This window comes from Homo sapiens, chromosome 19 (assembly GCF_000001405.40).
Source record: "Homo sapiens chromosome 19, GRCh38.p14 Primary Assembly".
Lineage (NCBI taxonomy): Eukaryota > Metazoa > Chordata > Mammalia > Primates > Hominidae > Homo > Homo sapiens.
The window spans coordinates 542,855-560,302 of NC_000019.10; the positions used below are offsets into that span (position 1 = coordinate 542,855).

Below are 17,448 nucleotides of genomic sequence, written 5' to 3' on the forward strand. Positions count from 1 at the left end.
ATCCATAGCTGCTTGGTTTGGTTTGGTTTTGTTTTTGAGACACAGTCTTGTGTTGCCCAGGCTGGAGTGCAGTGGTGCGATCTCGCCTCCTGGGTTCAAGTGATTCTCCTGCCTCAGCCTCCTGAGTAGCTGGGACTACAGGCTCCCACCACCATGCCCAGCTGATTTTTGTATTTTTAGTAGAGATGGGGTTTCACCATGTTGGCCAGGATGGTCTCGAACTCCCAACCTCAGGTGATCGCCCGCCTCGGCCTCCCAAAGTGCTGGGATTACAGGCGTGAGCCGCCGCGCCCGGCCTAAATTTATTTATTTTTGAGACAGGGTCTTGCTCTGTCACCCAGGCTGAAGAGCAGTGGTGCAATTACGGCTCACTGCAGCCCCAACCTGGGCTCAAGCGATCCTCCTGCCCCAGTCTCTCAAAGTGCTGGGATTACAGGTGTGAGCCACCGCCTTCGGCCAGTGTCTTTATTCATGAAGACCAAAAACTAGAACAGCGCAAATATCCGTCCGCTGGTGAATGCATAAACACAGCGTGGTCCAGCCACACAATGGGATGTGACACAGCCACAAAAAGGAGCGAGGCTCTGACACAGGCCACAGCCTGGATGCACCTTGAGGACGTCATGCTGGGAGAGACGCCAACGCAACAGGTCCTGTGTGATTCCACTCCTGGGAGGTCCCTAGAGACCAATTCAGAGGCAGGAAGTAGTGGCCGGGCGCGGTGGCTCATGCCTGTAATCCCAGCACTGGGAGGCCGAGGTGGGTGGATCACCTGAGGTCGGGAGTTTGAGACCAGCCTGGTCAACATGGTGAAACCTCGTCTCTACTAAGAATACGAAAATTAGCCGGGCGTGGTGGTGGGCACCTGTAGTCCCACTACTCGGGAGGCTGAGGCCGGAGTATGGCGTGAACCCGGGAGGCGGAGCTTGCAGTGAGCCGAGATCGCACCACCGCACTCCAGCCTGGGCGACAGAGCGAGACTCCATCTCTGAAAAAAAAAAAAAAAAAAAAGTGTTACTTTGTCAGGTGTGATGATGGTAGTGTGGCTTCATCTCGAGTCCTCTTTGAGAAACACTTTCTAAAATGCTCAAGGATGGAGGGTGGAGGGTGTGCAGCGGTGGGCGGGGCTGTGACCGTCACCTCACCTCCCCCACAGGAAGCGCGTGTGGGGAGGCTCGGGGCCGGGGCCAGCACCCACACTGGGTCTCCACAGCGGCATGGAGGCCTGCGTGTCTTCACTGCTGGTGCTGGCCCTGGGGGCCCTGTCAGTAGGTGAGTGGGAGCCGGGATGCAGGGGGGACACTGAGGCCCAGCGCTCTCGGTGGGTCCCTGGATGGGAGGGGTGGGCGCGGGCGCCGACATCCTGGGTGTAAGAGCGGAGATTCATCCTTGTTTGGAGGGGGACTGAGGCCTGGGGCATCCCGAGCTCCTCACGCTTCACCCCGAGTGGACATCCCGGGACCGTGGGAGAGTGTGGTGTCCACCGGCTCACCTCGCCCATCCTCCCGGCAGCAGCCAGAAGGCAGGGGTCACGCTCACACCCGAGGTGCAGAGTAGGAGACTGAGACTTGGCGAAGGAGATGCTGACCTAGGACTGCCCAGCTGGGAGGGCAGAGCTGGGACTCGATCCCCGCTGGCTGCCTGCCACCACCAAGGGCTTGGCTGGGACTAGGTGCCCAGCAGTGAGGGAGAAGGGAGGTGGGTGGCGGCTCCCCTGCATTCCAGCTGGACTGAGTGACAGGGGCTCTTGATGAGTTGGGGACCCAAGAAGATGGACAGAGGTAGGAATCCAGCCGTCAGTCATCATCATCCTTCCTCCCATTTTTATTTCCTTCCACCCATGGGTCCATCATCCCTCCCTCCCTCCCTCCCTCCCTCCCTCATCTCCCCTTCCTTCCCTCTACCCGTCCGTCCACCCATCATTCCTCCTTCCATTCTTCCACCCACCCATCCATCATCCATCCCTCTACCCATGGGTCCATCATCCATCCCTCCCTCCCTCCTTTCGTTCCCCCTTCCTTCCCTCCGCCAGTCCATCCACCCATCATTCCTCCTTCCTCCCATTCTTCCACCCACCCGTCCATCCATCATCCATCCCTCCTTTCAACCTCCCTCCTTCCCTCCACCCGTCATCCTTCCCTCCCTCCTTCCATGTATCCACCCATCCATCCATCATGCCTCTCTCTTCCTTTCCCCCCTCCTTCCCTCCTCCCTCCCATCCATCCATCATCCATTCCTCCTTCCATCCCTCCTTCCTTTCTCCCGTGCTTCTGTGTATCCATCCGTATTTGCAGGGCTCGTGCTGTTCTAGGCCTGCCCTCCTGTCTGACTGGAAGAGACAGGCCAGGCATGAGACTGTGCAGAGCGGAGGAAACACGGAGGGCAAGAGGGCGGGTGGGGGGCCGTTGCAGGAGACGAGCATAAACCAAGGGAGGAAGCCGGTGGGGGAAAGGTACGCAGGCAGCTAAGTGAGACAGACAAAGGCCCAGGGTGCAGGCAGCTTGCAGGCACAGCTAGACTTGCACTCTTGTCACCCAGGCTGGAGTGCGATGGTGCCATCTCGGCTCACTGCAGCCTCCGCCTCCTGGTTTCAAGCGATTCTCCTGCCTCAGCCTCCCGAGTAGCTGGGATTACAGGCGCCTGCCACCATGCCGGGCTAATTTTGTATTTTTAGTAGAGACAGGGTTTCCCCGTGTTGGTCAGGCTGGTCTCAAACTCCCAACCTCAGGTGATCCGCCTGCCTCGGCCTCCCAAAGCGCTGGGATTACAGGCGTGAGCCACCGCGCCCGGCCTATTTTTTTTTTTTAAGATGGAGTTCTGCTATTCTTGCCCAGGCTGGAGTGCAATGGCACGATCTCGGCTCACCACAACCTCTGCCTCCCGGGTTCAAGCGATTCTCCTGTCTCAGCCTCCCAAGTAGCTGAGATTACAGATGCCCGCCACCTCGCCCGGCTAATTTTTTGTATTTTTAGTAGAGACGGGGTTTCACCGTGTTAGCCAGGATGGTCTCGATCTCCTGACCTCGTGATCCACCTGCCTCGGCCTCCCAAAGTGCTGGGATTACAGGCGTGAGCCACCGCACCCGGCCTTAATTTCTGTATTTTTAGTACAGACGGGGTTTTACCACATTGGCCAGGCTGATCTCCAACTCCTGACCTCAGGCTGTCTGCCCACCTTGACCTCCCAAAGTGCTGGGATTATAGGCGTGAGCCACTGCACCGGCCCGCAAGCGGGGACTTGATTTTCAAAGCATGATGGGGATTCAGAGAAGATTTTGAGCTGATTTACGTTACATTATGAAATCAATCCTTTTATATTTATGATTGATTTAAAATAATTTTTGTACAGCTTTATTAGGAAATTATGCACTATACAATTTACTTATTTAAAGACTACATTTCTTGCTGGGCACAGTGGCTCACGCCTGTCATCCCAGCACTTTGGGAGGCCAAGGAGGGTGGATCACCTGAGGTTAGGTGTTTGAGGCCAGCCTGGCCAACACGGCGAAACCCTGTCGCTACTAAAAATACAAAAAAATTAGCCGGACGTGGTGATGCGCTTCTGTAATCCCAGCTACTCGGGAGGCTGAGGCAGGAGAATCGCTTGAACCCAGGAGGCAGAGGTTGCAGTGAGCTGAGATCACGGCACTGCATTCCAGGCTGGGTAACAGAGTGAGACTCCATCTCAAAAAAAAAAAAAAAATGGCCAGGTGCAGTGGCTCATACCTGTAATCCCAGCACTTTGGGAGGCTGAGATGGGTGGATCACAAGGTCAGGAGTTCGAGACCAGCCTGGCTAACATGGTGAAACCCCATCTGTACTAAAAATACAAAAATTATCCAGGCGTGGTGGCAGGTGCCTGTAGTCCCAGCTACTCGGGAGACTGAGTCAGGAGAATGGCATGAACCCAGGAGGCGGAGCTTGCAGTGAGCCGAGATCGTGCCATTGCACTCCAGCCTGGGTGACAGAGCGAGACTCTGTCTCAAAAAAAAAGAAAAAAAAAGTTTTTTTTAAGAGACTGGGTCTTGCTGTGTCGCCCAGGCTGGTCTCGAACTCCTGGCCTCAAGTGATCCTCCCTCCTCAGCCTCCCGAAGTGCTGGGATCACAGGGGTGAGCCACCCACATCCGGCCTGATGTGCGTTTTGAAGGACTCCTGTGGCTGTGGGGCCCAGTGGGGCCTGGGGAGGTCCTGGAGAGGGGATTGGGAGGTGGCCTGGGGGGAACATGATGGGGGTGATGAGAGGGGGATGGGAGGGATGAAGGGCAGCCCACACGTATCAGCCTAAAAGTTTCGGGGAACACTGGGGACTTCATTAGGATGGCACATCTGCTTGGGGTCCTGGGCCTCTGAGCTGGGCAAGGACAGTCGCAGCAGGCAGCAGGGGCATGTAGCCCCAACCTGGCTCTTTGTCCCCCATCCTGGCAGGCAGCTCCTTTGGGACCCAGATCATCGGGGGCCGGGAGGTGATCCCCCACTCGCGCCCGTACATGGCCTCACTGCAGAGAAATGGCTCCCACCTGTGCGGGGGTGTCCTGGTGCACCCAAAGTGGGTGCTGACGGCTGCCCACTGCCTGGCCCAGCGGTGAGTACCCTGCCCTGCCCACCCCAGGGGTCCGGGGAATCCATCCGACGGCGCCCATTCTCTGCAGGGGGTGGGCTCTGGGAGATTTAGGCCCATTGTGGGACCCCCGTCCCCTCCCGGTGACGACTTAGGCAGGTTTAAGTGACCTGCGGCTGTGGGACTCCTGGAGAAGGTTTACTCCTTGCAAGAGGCACTGGCAGGGCCAGCTCCTTCCACACCGCAGCCTGGGTCAGAGCCTGGCTCCTTTCACGGCTGAGCCACAGTCCTGGTGTGGACAGAGTGCATTGTGTCTGTCCATTCACCTGCTGATGGACCCAACTTAGGCGGGGGCTTCTGCTATAAGGAAGGAGGGTCAGGTGGGGGTGTTTGCCACCTGTGGCCAGGAGGTCGAAGCCGGCCTTCGAGAGTGGCTCGGGAATCGACCTGGTTCCCGGGGATCAGGAAGCCGCTAAATGACCCATCATGGAGTTGCCCTACCTCAGGACTGGTCCGTCATACAGAGCCCAGATCAAGATGGTCAAAGTAACAAAAAGGGATCTGCCGGCTTGTGTAACTGCAAAGTCTAGGAGGAGGCCTGGCTTCAGGTGCGGCTTGATCCAGGTGCTCACAGGAGGCGCTGTGGAGCCCATCTGTCTCCCAGCTCTGCTGCACTACCAGGAAGCCTGTCTCACAAGGTGGAAAGATTGACCCTCCTCAGTCCCATGGAAAGAGGGCTTGGCTCTCTAAAGTTGGGGCACACTTAGGAGGATTGGCATGTGTCAACCCCTGTACAAATCACTGTGGTTGAGCCTGGGGCCCCAAGTGAAGGGAATTCCCAGGGCTGGTTTTCGTGAAGCTGTAGGCTTGGGGTTGGATTTTTGGACACACAGCCCTTGCCTGGGGCCAGGGCCGGGCAGAAGTCTGGGGCAGGGGTGAGAGCAGGGAGGGCTTCCTGGAGGAGGTGGGTTGCAAAGACACAGGGAAGGACTGGCCAAGCCAAGGCCTGTGAGGGGCAGCGGCTGTGAGTGATGGCCATGGACAACGGGCACAGTGGGGGCCGGGACTGCATGTGGCGGGTCGTCCACGCCGGGCCAGGCCGCAGCACCCTGATTCCCTCTGTCCCCAGGATGGCCCAGCTGAGGCTGGTGCTGGGGCTCCACACCCTGGACAGCCCCGGTCTCACCTTCCACATCAAGGCAGCCATCCAGCACCCTCGCTACAAGCCCGTCCCTGCCCTGGAGAACGACCTCGCGCTGCTTCAGGTGTGCAGGGACGGGACAGGGAGAACTGGGCACCCTCCTGTCCCCCACGGGTGCCCCTCACCCCCACTGCGCCCTCCCCCCGCTGCCGACCCTCCCCCCGCACTGCTGCCCCTCCCCCCGCACTACTGCCCCCTCCCCCATTGCCCACCCTCCCCCCACTGCCACCCCTCCCCCCGCTGCCGCCCCCCGCCCCCGCACTCTCACCCCCTCCCCCTGCTCACCTGCCCCTTCCTGTCACTCGTAGCTGGACGGGAAAGTGAAGCCCAGCCGGACCATCCGGCCGTTGGCCCTGCCCAGTAAGCGCCAGGTGGTGGCAGCAGGGACTCGGTGCAGCATGGCCGGCTGGGGGCTGACCCACCAGGGCGGGCGCCTGTCCCGGGTGCTGCGGGAGCTGGACCTCCAAGTGCTGGACACCCGCATGTGTAACAACAGCCGCTTCTGGAACGGCAGCCTCTCCCCCAGCATGGTCTGCCTGGCGGCCGACTCCAAGGACCAGGCTCCCTGCAAGGTGAGGGGCGCCCGGGTGGGGCTGGGGGAATGAGGCTGGCGGGAGGGCCGGGGCCAGGGCAGCCGCCGGGCAGGTTCCTGGCTCTCCCGTTCTCTGGGGAGTCCTGTCAGGGGCTGGGGGGCGGGGAAGCACTGGCAGGGGTCCCGTTTCTCAGGTGCAGAAACTGAGGCTCAGACAGGTTTAGCAACCTGCGCAAGACCACACAGCCGGGAAGCGGCAGAGCTGTGACTTCTGCTCCAGCCAAGACGGTCCGGCGGGGGAAGAAGGAGCAGGGTTCACAGGGCCAGCGGGAGATGGGGAGGGGACACGCGTGGGCCGGGAGCAGCCCCTGTGTCTCCTTGAGCCTGGGGATAACAGGCCTGGCCCTGCTCCCCTCGGCGGGCCCTGCTCCCCTCGTCCCCTCAGCAGGTGCAGAGGCTGAGCTGCGGTGTGTCGTCCCTGCAGGGTGACTCGGGCGGGCCCCTGGTGTGTGGCAAAGGCCGGGTGTTGGCCAGAGTCCTGTCCTTCAGCTCCAGGGTCTGCACTGACATCTTCAAGCCTCCCGTGGCCACCGCTGTGGCGCCTTACGTGTCCTGGATCAGGAAGGTCACCGGCCGATCGGCCTGATGCCCTGGGGTGATGGGGACCCCCTCGCTGTCTCCACAGGACCCTTCCCCTCCAGGGGTGCAGTGGGGTGGGTGAGGACGGGTGGGAGGGACAGGGAGGGACCAATAAATCATAATGAAGAAACGCTCAGAGCCCGCCTGAGTCCCAGCCCACCTCTGTCCATGCTGGCTGTGGGGCTTCCGACAAACCTGTTTCCCTCAGCCTCCCGAGTAACTGGGTCTACAGGCGCCCGCCACCACGCCAGGCTAACTTTTGGTATTTTTAGTAGAGAAGGGGTTTCTCCATGTTTGTCAGGCTGGTCTCCAACTCTTGACCTTGTGATCTGCCCACCTCGGCCTCCCAAAGTGCTGGGATTACAGGCGTGAGCCACCGCGCCCGGCCCTTCCCTGTTTTAAAAAGGGAGGTTGTGGATCCCAAGGCTTCTCCCAGGAGGGGGCGGCGTTGGCCAGGACTGGAGCGGTGGCCGGGTCTGCAGGCTGGCAGGGGTGGGCGGCCGTCCTCCCCGCGTGGCTCCTGGGGCTGGGCCTTGAACAGCATCCCAGGATCTTCTTTTTTAGTAACAGCTTTTATCAAGTTACAACTCACATAGCAGATGAGTCTCCCTGTAAACTGCGATTCAGGGGCCTTTGGTACCTGCACAGAGCTGGGCAACCACCACCGTGACATGTCACCCCAGCACCCCGAAAACAGGCCCGTCCCCAGTCACCCCAGCACCCCGAAAACAGGCCCGTCCCCAGTCACCCCAGCACCCCGAAAACAGGCCCGTCCCCAGTCACCCCAGCACCCCGAAAACAGGCCCGTCCCCAGTCACCCCAGCACCCCGAAAACAGGCCTGTCCCCTGTCACCCCAGCACCCTGAAAACAGTCCTGTCACCCCAGCACCCCGAAAACAGCCCTGTCCCCACTGTCACCCCAGCACCCCGAAAACAGGCCTGTCCCCACTGTCACCCCAGCACCCCGAAAACAGGCCCGTCCCCACTGTCACCCCAGCACCCCGAAAACAGGCCTGTCACCCCAGCACCCCGAAAACAGGCCTGTCCCCCTGTCACCCCAGCACCCCGAAAACAGGCCTGTCCCCACTGTCACCCCAGCACCCCGAAAACAGCCCTGTCCCCACTGTCACCCCAGCACCCCGAAAACAGGCCCGTCCCCACTGTCATCCCAGCAGCCCGAAAACAGGCCTGTCCCCACTGTCACCCCAGCAGCCCGAAAACAGGCCCCATCTCTATCACCCCAGCACCCCAAAAGGAAGCCCCACCCCCATTGTCATTCCAGCACCCCGAAAATAGACTCTGTCCCCACTGTCACCCCAGCACCCCAAAAGGAGGCTCGTCCCCATCGGCCGTCACTCCCCGTCCCCACCCCAGCCCCGGTGCCCTCACATCCCCTCCCTGTCTCTGGATGGGCCTGTGCTGACATTTCATGGACAGGGGATCACGCTGCGTGGCCTTCTGTGTCTGGCGTCTCCCGCTGAGCGTGACGTCCTCAAGCTGCACCCGCGCGCTGGCTGGGTCCGAGCCGTGCTCCTGCTCCGGGGGGTCGAGCTCCAGCTCGAGGGGGGCCTCGCTGCGTTTGTGGGTGCGTCCCTGGGTGCACATCTGGGCGGCTTCGTCTGCGTCCGTCCGTCTGAAGCTTTGCTGGGAGCCGCCTGTGTGCGTTTTCGTGTGGACCTACCTGCTCCTTCCTCCCTCCAGATTAGACCCGTGGGAGTGGCATCTCGGGCTGTTCAGTGACTCTGTTTCAGCGCCGCGCTGTTTTCCTGCAGAATCTTTTAATTTCACTACCAACTCTTTCTTTCTTTTCTTTTCTTTCTTCCCTTTCTTCCCCTTCTTCTCTTTCCCTCCCTTCCCCTTCTTCTCTTTCCCTCCCTTCCCCTTCTCTCCCCTCCCCTCCCCTCCTCTCTCTTTCTTTCTTTCCTTTCTTTCCTTTCTTCCCCGTCTCCCCTTCCCCTCCCCTCCCCTCTCCTCCCCTCCCCTCTCCTCCCCTCCTCTCTTTCTTTCTTTCTTTCTTTCTTTTCTTTTCTTTTTTTCTTTTATTTTCCTTTCTTTTCTTCTGATGGAGTCTCAGTGCGTCACCCGGGCTGGAGTGCAGTGGCACGATCTCGGCTCACTGCAAGCCATCTCAGGTTCAAGCGATGCTTGTGTCTCAGCCACCTGAGTAGCTGAGGGATCACAGACGTGCACCACCACGCCCAGCTAACTTTTTTTGTATTTTTAGTAGAGACTAATAGAAACACAGGTTTCACCACGTTGACCAGGCTGGTCTTGAACTCCTGACCTCAGGTGACCCGCCCACCTCGCCCTCCCAAAGTGCTGGGATTACAGGCATGAGCCACTGTGCCCACGTTAATGGTTTTTTATTATTTTATTTTATTTTTAGACAGTTCCCACTCTGTTGCCCAGGCTGGAGTGCAGCCTCAGCCTCCCAAGTAGCTGGAATCATAGGGGTCCACCACCAAGCCCAGCTAATTTTTTTGGATTTTTACTAGAGACGGGGTTTCACCATATTGGTCAGGCTGGTCTCGAACTCCTGACCTCAAATAATCCACCCGCCTCGGCTTCCCAAAGTGCTGGGATTACAGGTATGAGCCACTGTGCCCGGCCGGGTTAGTGTTGTAATAGACTTAATTTTTAAAACCATTTTTGGTCTGCAGGAGATGTGTGGCGGCTGTATCCACAGGGTCCCCCGCGTCCCCGCCCCCAGGCTCCTGGCCGCTCCCCTCTCCAGTCAGCAGGAGTCACGGCTGACGAACTCACATGAATGCGTGATTAACTACTAAGGACCTACTCTTGGCTCGGATTTCCTCAGTTTCCCCTAATGTCTCTTCCTGCACAGGGTCCCACCCGGGACCGAACCTGCCGTTTCGCCGCAGCCTCTCCTCGGCACCCCCAGGCTCCGACCGTTTCTCAGAACTCCGTGTCTGGAGGCCGGCTGGACGGGATTTATGTAGATTACGGGTGTGGACCACTGCACCCGCCAGCTATCTCATGTTTTTCTCTCGATTGGACTGGAGTCACAGTGTTTTTGGGAGAGGCAAGTGCATTTTTAATCTTTAACTTTTTTAATTTTTTTATGTTATTTTTTTAGAGACTCCTGGGCTCCAGCAATCCTCCCACCTCAGCCTCCTAAAGGATTACAGGTGTGAGCCACCGCGCCCGGCCTAATCTTTAACTTTTTATGGCATCATTGGCAGTGGAAGGTTCTCAGGTCACAAGTGAAGAGCCTCATAACTCACAAACCAGGCACGCCCCTGTTCCCGGCACCTGGGTCCAGACACAACCCCCTGCCCCGAAGCCCCTCCTTAGCCAAGTACCCAAGTCCAGTCTCTTTTTTTTTTTTTTGAGATTCGAGTCTCGCTCTGTCCCCCAGGCTGGAGTGCAGTGGTGCAATCTCGGCTCACTGCAAGCTCCACCTCCTGGGTTCACGCCATTCTCCTGCCTCAGCCTCCCCAGTAGCTGGGACTACAGGCGCCCGCCACCACGCCTGGCTAATTTTTTAAATATTTTTAGTAGAGACGGGGTTTCACGGTGTTAGCCAGGATGGTCTCGATCTCCTGACCTCGTGATCCACCCACCTCGGCCTCCCAAAGTGCTGGGATTACAGGCATGAGCCACTGCGCCCCGCCCCAAGTCCAGTCTCTAACCCCAGAGATGGGCCCTGCCTGTTTGGGTTCTTTTTTTGTTTTTTGTTTTTGTTTTTGTTTTGACACGGAGTCTCGCTCTGTCGCCCAGGCTGGAGTGCAGTGGTGCAATCTCGGCTCACTGCAACCTCCGCCTCCTGGGTTCAAGCAATCCTCCTGCCTCAACCTCCCGAGTAGCTGGGACTATAGGCACGCGCCACCACGCCCGGCTAATTTTTGTATTTTTAGTAGAGACGGGGTTTCACCAGATTGGCCAGGCTGGTCTTGAACTCCTGACCTCATGATCCGCCAGCCTTGGTCTCCCAAAGTACTGGGATGACAGGGGTGAGGCACCACGCCCAGCCCCTTTGGGTTTTTAAATTGTTCATTCATGGCCAGGCATGGTGGCTCGCGCCGGTAATCCCAGCACATCGGGAGGCTGAGGCGGGCGGATCACGAGGTCAGGAGTTCAAGATCGGCCTGGCCAACATGGTGAAACCCTGTCTCTACGAAAATTACAAAAAAAATTAGCTGGGCATGGTGGTGGGCACCTATAATCCCAGCTACTTGGGAGGCTGAGGCAGGAGAATCACTTCAAGCCGGGAAAGGGAGGTTGCAGGGAGCTGAGATCACACCACTGCACTCTAGCCTGGGCGACAAGAGCGAGACTCCGTCTCAGAAAAAAAAAAACAAAAAAACCATAAATAAAAAATTTTTTAAAAAATGATAAATGTTTGCAACTCTAGCTATGTTAATGTCTGATCAGCACACATTGTATGTATTGAAACGTCACTATGTACCCCATGAATATGTACAATTATTATGTGTTCTTTTTTTTTTTGAGACAGAGTATTTTGCTCTTGTTGCCCAGGTTGGAGTGCAGTGGCACGATCTCGGCTCACCGCAACCTCCGCCTCCCAGATTCAAGCGATTCCCCTGCCTCAGCCTCCCGAGTAGCTGGGATTACAGGCACCCGCCACCACGCCCGGCTACTGTTTGTATTTTTAGTAGAGACGGGGTTTCGCCATGTTGGCCACGCTGGTCTCAAGCTCCTGATGTCGTGATCCGCCCGCCTCAGCCTCCCAAGGTGCTGGGATTACAGGCGTGAGCCACCGCGCCCGGCATGTGTTCATTTTTTTTTAAAAAAAAAAAAGGATAAAAAGGCCAGGCACGGTGGCTCACGCCTGTAATCCCAGCACTTTTGGAGGCCAAGGCTGGTAGATCACTTGAGCCCAGGAGTTCGAGACCAGCCTGGCCAACATGGTGAAACCCCGTCTCTACTAAAAATACAAAAAAATTAAAATTAAAAATAAAAACAAATAAAGAAAAGATAAAAAGAAAGCCAGGCCTCTTGGCAATGAAAGCTGCCCGGGGCAGCCCTCTCCCTCTTCCTGGTGCAGGTGTGTTGCCAGCGTGGATGTCCTTCGTGGACGTGAACTTATTTTACAAAAGAGCACTTGTCCAGAGCTAGTCCTGAGCCTGCGGTTTCTGGGAGTCACCAGCTCGAACGACGCAGGACAAGTACACTTTGGGGTGGCACGTCCTGGTGCTGTTATTTTGGGGTGGGGTGTCCTTCCGTGGTACGGCTGGACCACGTTGCCTCTGTCCACTCACTGCCCTCGAGGGATGGGTGAGCTGTTTCCACCTTTGGCTGCCGTGACCTGGGCTGCTGTGAACTTCGCAGACGTTTGTGTTTCTTTCCCGCACGGAAACTTGGACAGAAGCTCCTTGTCACGTCCCACAGTCACACGGCCCCTGCACGTGCTTAAAAGAAGCTGTGGTGTTTTTTTTTTTGTTTTTTTTTTTTTTGTTGTTGTTGTTTGCTTTTTTTTTTGAGACGGAGTCTCTGTTTCCAGGCTGGAGTGCAGTGGCGCAATCTCGGCTCACTGCAACCTCCTCCTCCCGGGTTCAAGTGATTCTCCTGCCTCAGCCTCCCGAGTAGGTGAGATTACAGGCACCCACCACCACGCCCGGCTAATTTTTGTATTTTCAGTAGAGATGGGGTTTCACCATGTTGGTCAGGCTGGTCTCGAACTCCTGACCTCAGGTGATCCACCCGCTTCGGCCTCCCAAAGTGCTGGGATGACAGGTGTAAGCCACCGTACCCAGCGGAAGCTGCGATTTTCCTTATTCCTTGACATCCTCAAGGGAGACCCTGATGTAGAGGCAGGGAGGCTAGGAAGGAGGAAGCATCCAGCCCAGTGGGGTGGACCCGTCAGAAATGCTCAGAGGCGGCCGTGCATGGTGGCTCACACCTGTCATCCCAGCATTTTGGGAGGCCGAGGCGGGCGGATCACCTGAGGTCGGGAGTTCCAGATCAGCCTGGCCAACACAGAGAAACCCCGTCTCTACTAAAAATACAATGTTAGCCGGGCGTGGTGGCGCATGCCTGTAATCCCAGCTACTGGGGAGGCTGAGGCAGGAGAATCGCTTGAACCCGGGAGGCGGAGGTTGCAGTGAGCCAAGATTGCGCCACTGCACTCCAGCCTGGGCGACAAGAGCAAAAAACTCCATCTCAAAAAAACAAACAAAAAAATGCTCAGAGGCAAGGGTTGAGCTTCCTCTCCAGCCTCCTCCAGAGGTCACAGGGCACCGCCCCACCCCACCCACCCCACCCACTGGGTCCTGGGGTGACTCCAACTGGACAGAGATCAGTGGAGGCCAGGCCAGGCTGGTGTTTGGTGAGCTGGAGCCACGCCCCGGGGAGAGAGCTAATCTCTGAGCCCGGACGTGCCTCATCAGTGGTTCCCTCCTGCTGTGCTGAGATGTCCCCACCCCAGCCCCGGTGAGTGACTGGGGACTTAGAGACACAGAACCAGCCACCAGCAGGAGGCTGACACCCTGTGTGGGACACGCAGTGCCCTGGAAGCCTCCACCCCTCCGTCTGTGTTTTCGTGGTTTTTTTTTTTTGAGACAGGGTCACCCAGGCTGCAGCGCAGTGGTGCAATCCTAGCTCACTGCAGCCTCAAACTGCTGGGCTCAAGCAATCCCCTTCCCTCAGCCTCCTGAGGAGATGGGGCTACACGTGTGCACCACCACGCCTGGCTAATGTTTGTAATTTTGCCGAGATGGGGTCTCAGTATGTTGCTTAATGGAGTCTCAAAGTCCTAGGCTCAAGTGATCCTCCCGCCTCGACCTCCCAAAGCGCTGGGATGACAGGTGTGAGCCACTGCGCCCTGCCAGCCCTCGCTGGTTCCTCCTGGTGTAAAAGGGAACAGCCGAGTGAGCATCTCCGGGTGGCCGGTGGGCAGAGCTCTGGTCTCAGGTGGTTTAAACTGGACAGGTGTCACCCGGGAGCTTGACAGTGACGTGGGACCACATGCTGGGTGACTTAAACAACAGAAGGCAGCCCCTCCCCGTCCTGGGGCCCGGAGTCTGAGGTCAAGGTGTGGGCAGGCGCCGCTCTCTGAGAGGCCCCACGGAGGAGTCCTCCTGCCTTCTCCAGCTCCGGGGGCGCCAGGCGTCCTTGGCTTGTGTCCACATTGCTGCAGTCTCTGCCTCTGTCCCCGCAGGGACGTCTCCCCATGTCTCAGTCCAAATGTCCCTCTTCTGATGAGGATGCCAGCCATTGCCTCAGGGCCACCCTTACAACTTTATCCTAACTACCTCTGCCAAATAAGGCCACATTCTGAGGTTCTGGGTGGGCGTGAGTTTTGGGGGGCACCGTTCTCCCTGGGAAGACGCAGACGCTTGTCGTCCCGTGGTAAATGCCAGAAGGCCTCATCTGATGCCCACGTACGCCCTGAGGTGGGGAAGCTGCTGTCCTCATCCTTGCTGAGCGTGGGGCCCCAGGATTCTCAGGCAGCTGGATGAGCCTGTGGAGAGGCCGGTGCCCAGGCTCGGTCCCAGAACAAAGCGCAGAGGCACGATGGTCGCTGACAAAGTGGGGGCCCCGGGACCCCAAACAGAAAGGTCCACAAAGGCTGAGGTCGGGGCAGGGGAATTTGATTCAAGAGACATTTTCAGCCATACGGCCCTTCTCGAATTTTTTTTTTTGAGACAGTCTCGCTCTGTCACCCAGGCTGGAGTGCAGTGGCGCAATCTCAGCTCACTGCAACCTCTGCCTCCTGGGTTCAAGCAATTCTCCTGCCTCAGCCTCCCGAGTAGCTGGGACTACAGGCGCCCGCCACCACGCCCACTAATTTTATATTTTTAGTAGAGACGGAGTTTCACCATGTTGGCCAGGCTGGTCTCAGGTGATCCACCCGCCTTGGCCTCCCAAAGTTCTGGGATTACAGGCATGAGCCACTGTGCCTGGCCTTTTTTTCTCTTTTTTGAGATGGAGTCTCTCTCTGTTGCCCAGGCTGGAGTGCAGTGGTGCAGCTGACTGCAACCTCCGCCTCCCAGGTTCAAGCGATTCTCCTGCCTCAGCCTTCCGAGTATCTAGGATTACAGGCACGCACCACCGCACCTGGCTAATTTTTGTATTTTTAGTAGAGACGGCGTTTCACCATGCTGGCCAGGCTGGTCTCGAACTCCTCACCTTAAGTAATCCGCCCCACCTCGGCCTCCCAAAGTGCTGGGATTACAGGCGTGAGCCACCACGCCTGGCCCCTTATTGAACTTGATGGTTTCTCCTTCGTATCTCAGAAGTCACAAGCTGGAGGATTTAGGTTTGAAGAATCACGATGCCAAGGTCAGGCGCCGTCGCTCACGCCTGTAATCCCAGCACTTTGGGAGGCCGAGGTGGGCGGATCTCGAGGTCAGGAGATCAAGACCATCCTGGCCAACACGGTTAACCCTGTCTCTACTAAAAATACAAAAAATTAGCCGGGCGTGGTGGCGGGCGCCTGTAGTCCCAGCTACTCGGGAGGCTGAGGCAGGAGAATGGCGTGAACCCGGGAGGCAGAGGTTGCAGTGAACAGAGATCACACCACTGCTCTCCAGCCTGGGTGACAGAATGAGACTGTGTCTCAAAATAAAATAAAATAGGCCGGGCGCGGTGGCTCACGCCTGTAATCCCAGCACTTTGGGAGGCCGAGGCAGGTGGATCACGAGGTCAGGAGATCGAAACCATCCTGGCTAACATGGTTAACCCTGTCTCTACTAAAAATACAAAGAATTAGCCAGGCGTGGTGGCGGGCGCCTGTAGTCCCAGCTACTCGGGAGGCTGAGGCAGGAGAATCGCTTGAACCCAGGAGGCGGAGCTTGCAGTGAGCCGAGATCATCCAGCCTGGGTGACAGAGCGAGACTCTGCCTCAAAAAAAATAAAATAAAATAAACTCTGAAATTTAAATTAACTGGGTATTTTTATTTGCTAAATGAGGCCCTACAGGGGGTGGTCCTGAAGACCCTCTCCTTGGCAGATAAAAGAGGACTGGGATCTTCTTGCTTCTGGGGCCAGAACTGAGCAGAGCAGGCTCGGGGGTTTTGGGTCGGGGGCAAGGGGGTCCCTGGCTCTGCCTGAGGGTCAGGGAAGGCTTTCCAGGGAAGGGACCAGGAAACAGGGTGTTGAAGGCGGCCACAGGCTTTATTTTGTAAACAAAGACCAAGTTCCCAGGAGAACTGACCTCAGGCCAGATTGGGGCCTTGCCAGGGGAGGGCTGCGGAGGGGGCAGGAATTGGGCCAGGCCCTGTGGTTGTTTACAACCCTGGAGGGGCTTTGAAGGCAGCTGGCCCTGCTGGGCCTCATCCGCGTCTGTGTCCTCGTTCTGCACGTAGCTTCAGACCCTCCCCCTCCACCCCCCGCCCCCATGAGGACTTTCCAAGCCTGTGGCCCCCCAGGTGGGAGCTCTTTGGCACCGGTGGTTCTGAGGCTCCAAGTCCCCTGATCCGAAGCCATCCCCGAGAGGGGGTCTCCCAGAGTGGGAAGCGGGGGTCTCCCAGAGTGAAGCCCTCAGCCCCGTCCAGGCCCTCGGCCCCCAGCATCTTCCCACCCTGGCTGGGCCCAGCCTTCGCCCTGGATGGGGTTTTCTGCCCCTGCCCACCGTGTGCTGGCCCCTCGGTTACGCACATCACCCTATTTATTTATTTAGAGACGGAGTTTTGCTCTTGTTCCTCAGGATGGAGTGCAGTGGTGCGATCTTGGCTCACTGCAACCTCCGTCTCCCAGGTTCAAAGGATTCTCCTGCCTCAGCCTCTTAAGTAGCTGGGACTACAGGAGCCCGCCACCAGGCCCGGCTAATTTTGTATTTTTAGTAGAGACGGGGTTTCTCCATGTTGGTCAGGCTGGTCTCGAACTCCCAGCCTCAGGTGATCCGCCCGCCTCGGCCTCCGAAAGTGCTGGGATGACAGGCGTGAGTCACCGCGCCTCATCCCCTCCTCAGCCCCCCAGCACCCACACGTCCCCTCCCTGTCTCTGTGGATGGGCCTGTCCTGGACATTTCATAGACATGGGATCACACAGTGTGTGTCCTTCTGTGTCTGGCGTCTCTCACTGAGTGCGACTTCCTCAAGGTGCATCCGCGCCGTGGGCTGCGTCCGAGCCTCGCTCCTGTTCACGGCTGAGTCGTGTCCCATTGCGTGGATGGGCCATGCTGTGTCTGTCCATTCATTCTCTGTTTTTGTTTGTTTGTTTGTTTTTGAGACGGAGTCTCGCTCTGTCGCCCAGGCTGGAGTGCAGTGGCGCGATCTGGGCTCACTGCAACCGCCGCCTCCTGGGATTACAGGCGCCCACCACCACCCCCGGCTAATTTTTGTATTTTTAGTAGAGACGGGGTTTCACCCTGTTGGCCAGGCTGGTCTCAAAACTCCTGATCTCGTGATCCGCCCGCCTCGGCCTCCCAAAAGCAACCATTTTATTTGTATAACTGTGTCCAAATTGTTAGAAATAAGTGCTGGGTCCCGCAAAGAGAAACCAGCCCTTAGAAACCTATTTCCCAGCGAGACAACTTTACTATACAGAATGGGGCTGCCCCGGAGCTCACGGGACGAAGGAAGGAAGGAGCTTCTG

At 57.7% G+C, this 17,448-nt stretch overlaps 1 protein-coding gene across 2 annotated transcripts, besides 2 other annotated features; it reads left to right on the forward strand.

The window, feature by feature from the left end:
* Nucleotides 567-1,212: an enhancer, noted in NCBI's record as "H3K27ac-H3K4me1 hESC enhancer chr19:543421-544066 (GRCh37/hg19 assembly coordinates)". NCBI's record gives its function as "activates a minimal SCP1, AML or CMV promoter by ChIP-STARR-seq in naive H9 embryonic stem cells {active_cell/tissue: H9 hESC(naive)}" and the evidence as "EXISTENCE:reporter gene assay evidence [ECO:0000049][PMID:30033119]".
* On the forward strand, nt 1,199-7,068 carry GZMM (granzyme M). 2 transcript variants are annotated; one of them, NM_005317.4, is made up of 5 exons: nt 1,199-1,272; nt 4,426-4,582; nt 5,688-5,823; nt 6,068-6,331; nt 6,776-7,068. In NM_005317.4, exons 1-5 carry the CDS (start codon nt 1,218-1,220, stop codon nt 6,935-6,937), a joined length of 774 nt encoding a protein of 257 aa, NP_005308.2. In that variant the 5' UTR covers nt 1,199-1,217; the 3' UTR covers nt 6,938-7,068. The 2 variants fall into 2 exon arrangements, with proteins under 2 accessions (NP_005308.2, NP_001245280.2); NM_001258351.2 differs by having other exon boundaries at nt 4,430-4,582.
* Nucleotides 12,908-14,146: a transcriptional cis regulatory region, noted in NCBI's record as "candidate enhancer chr19.73 targeted for multiplex CRISPR interference". NCBI's record gives its function as "positively regulates BSG gene expression with high confidence in K562 cells {active_cell/tissue: K562}" and the evidence as "EXISTENCE:mutant phenotype evidence [ECO:0000015][PMID:30612741]".

Bases quoted from the DNA above. Each gene is read 5' to 3' on its own strand.
- GZMM (NM_005317.4), top strand. From the start codon at position 1,218: ATGGAGGCCTGCGTGTCTTCACTGCTGGTGCTGGCCCTGGGGGCCCTG. The intron at 4,583-5,687 runs GTGAGTACCCTG...CTCTGTCCCCAG, and splicing joins GCCCACTGCCTGGCCCAGCG to GATGGCCCAGCTGAGGCTGG. The intron at 5,824-6,067 runs GTGTGCAGGGAC...TGTCACTCGTAG, and splicing joins ACGACCTCGCGCTGCTTCAG to CTGGACGGGAAAGTGAAGCC.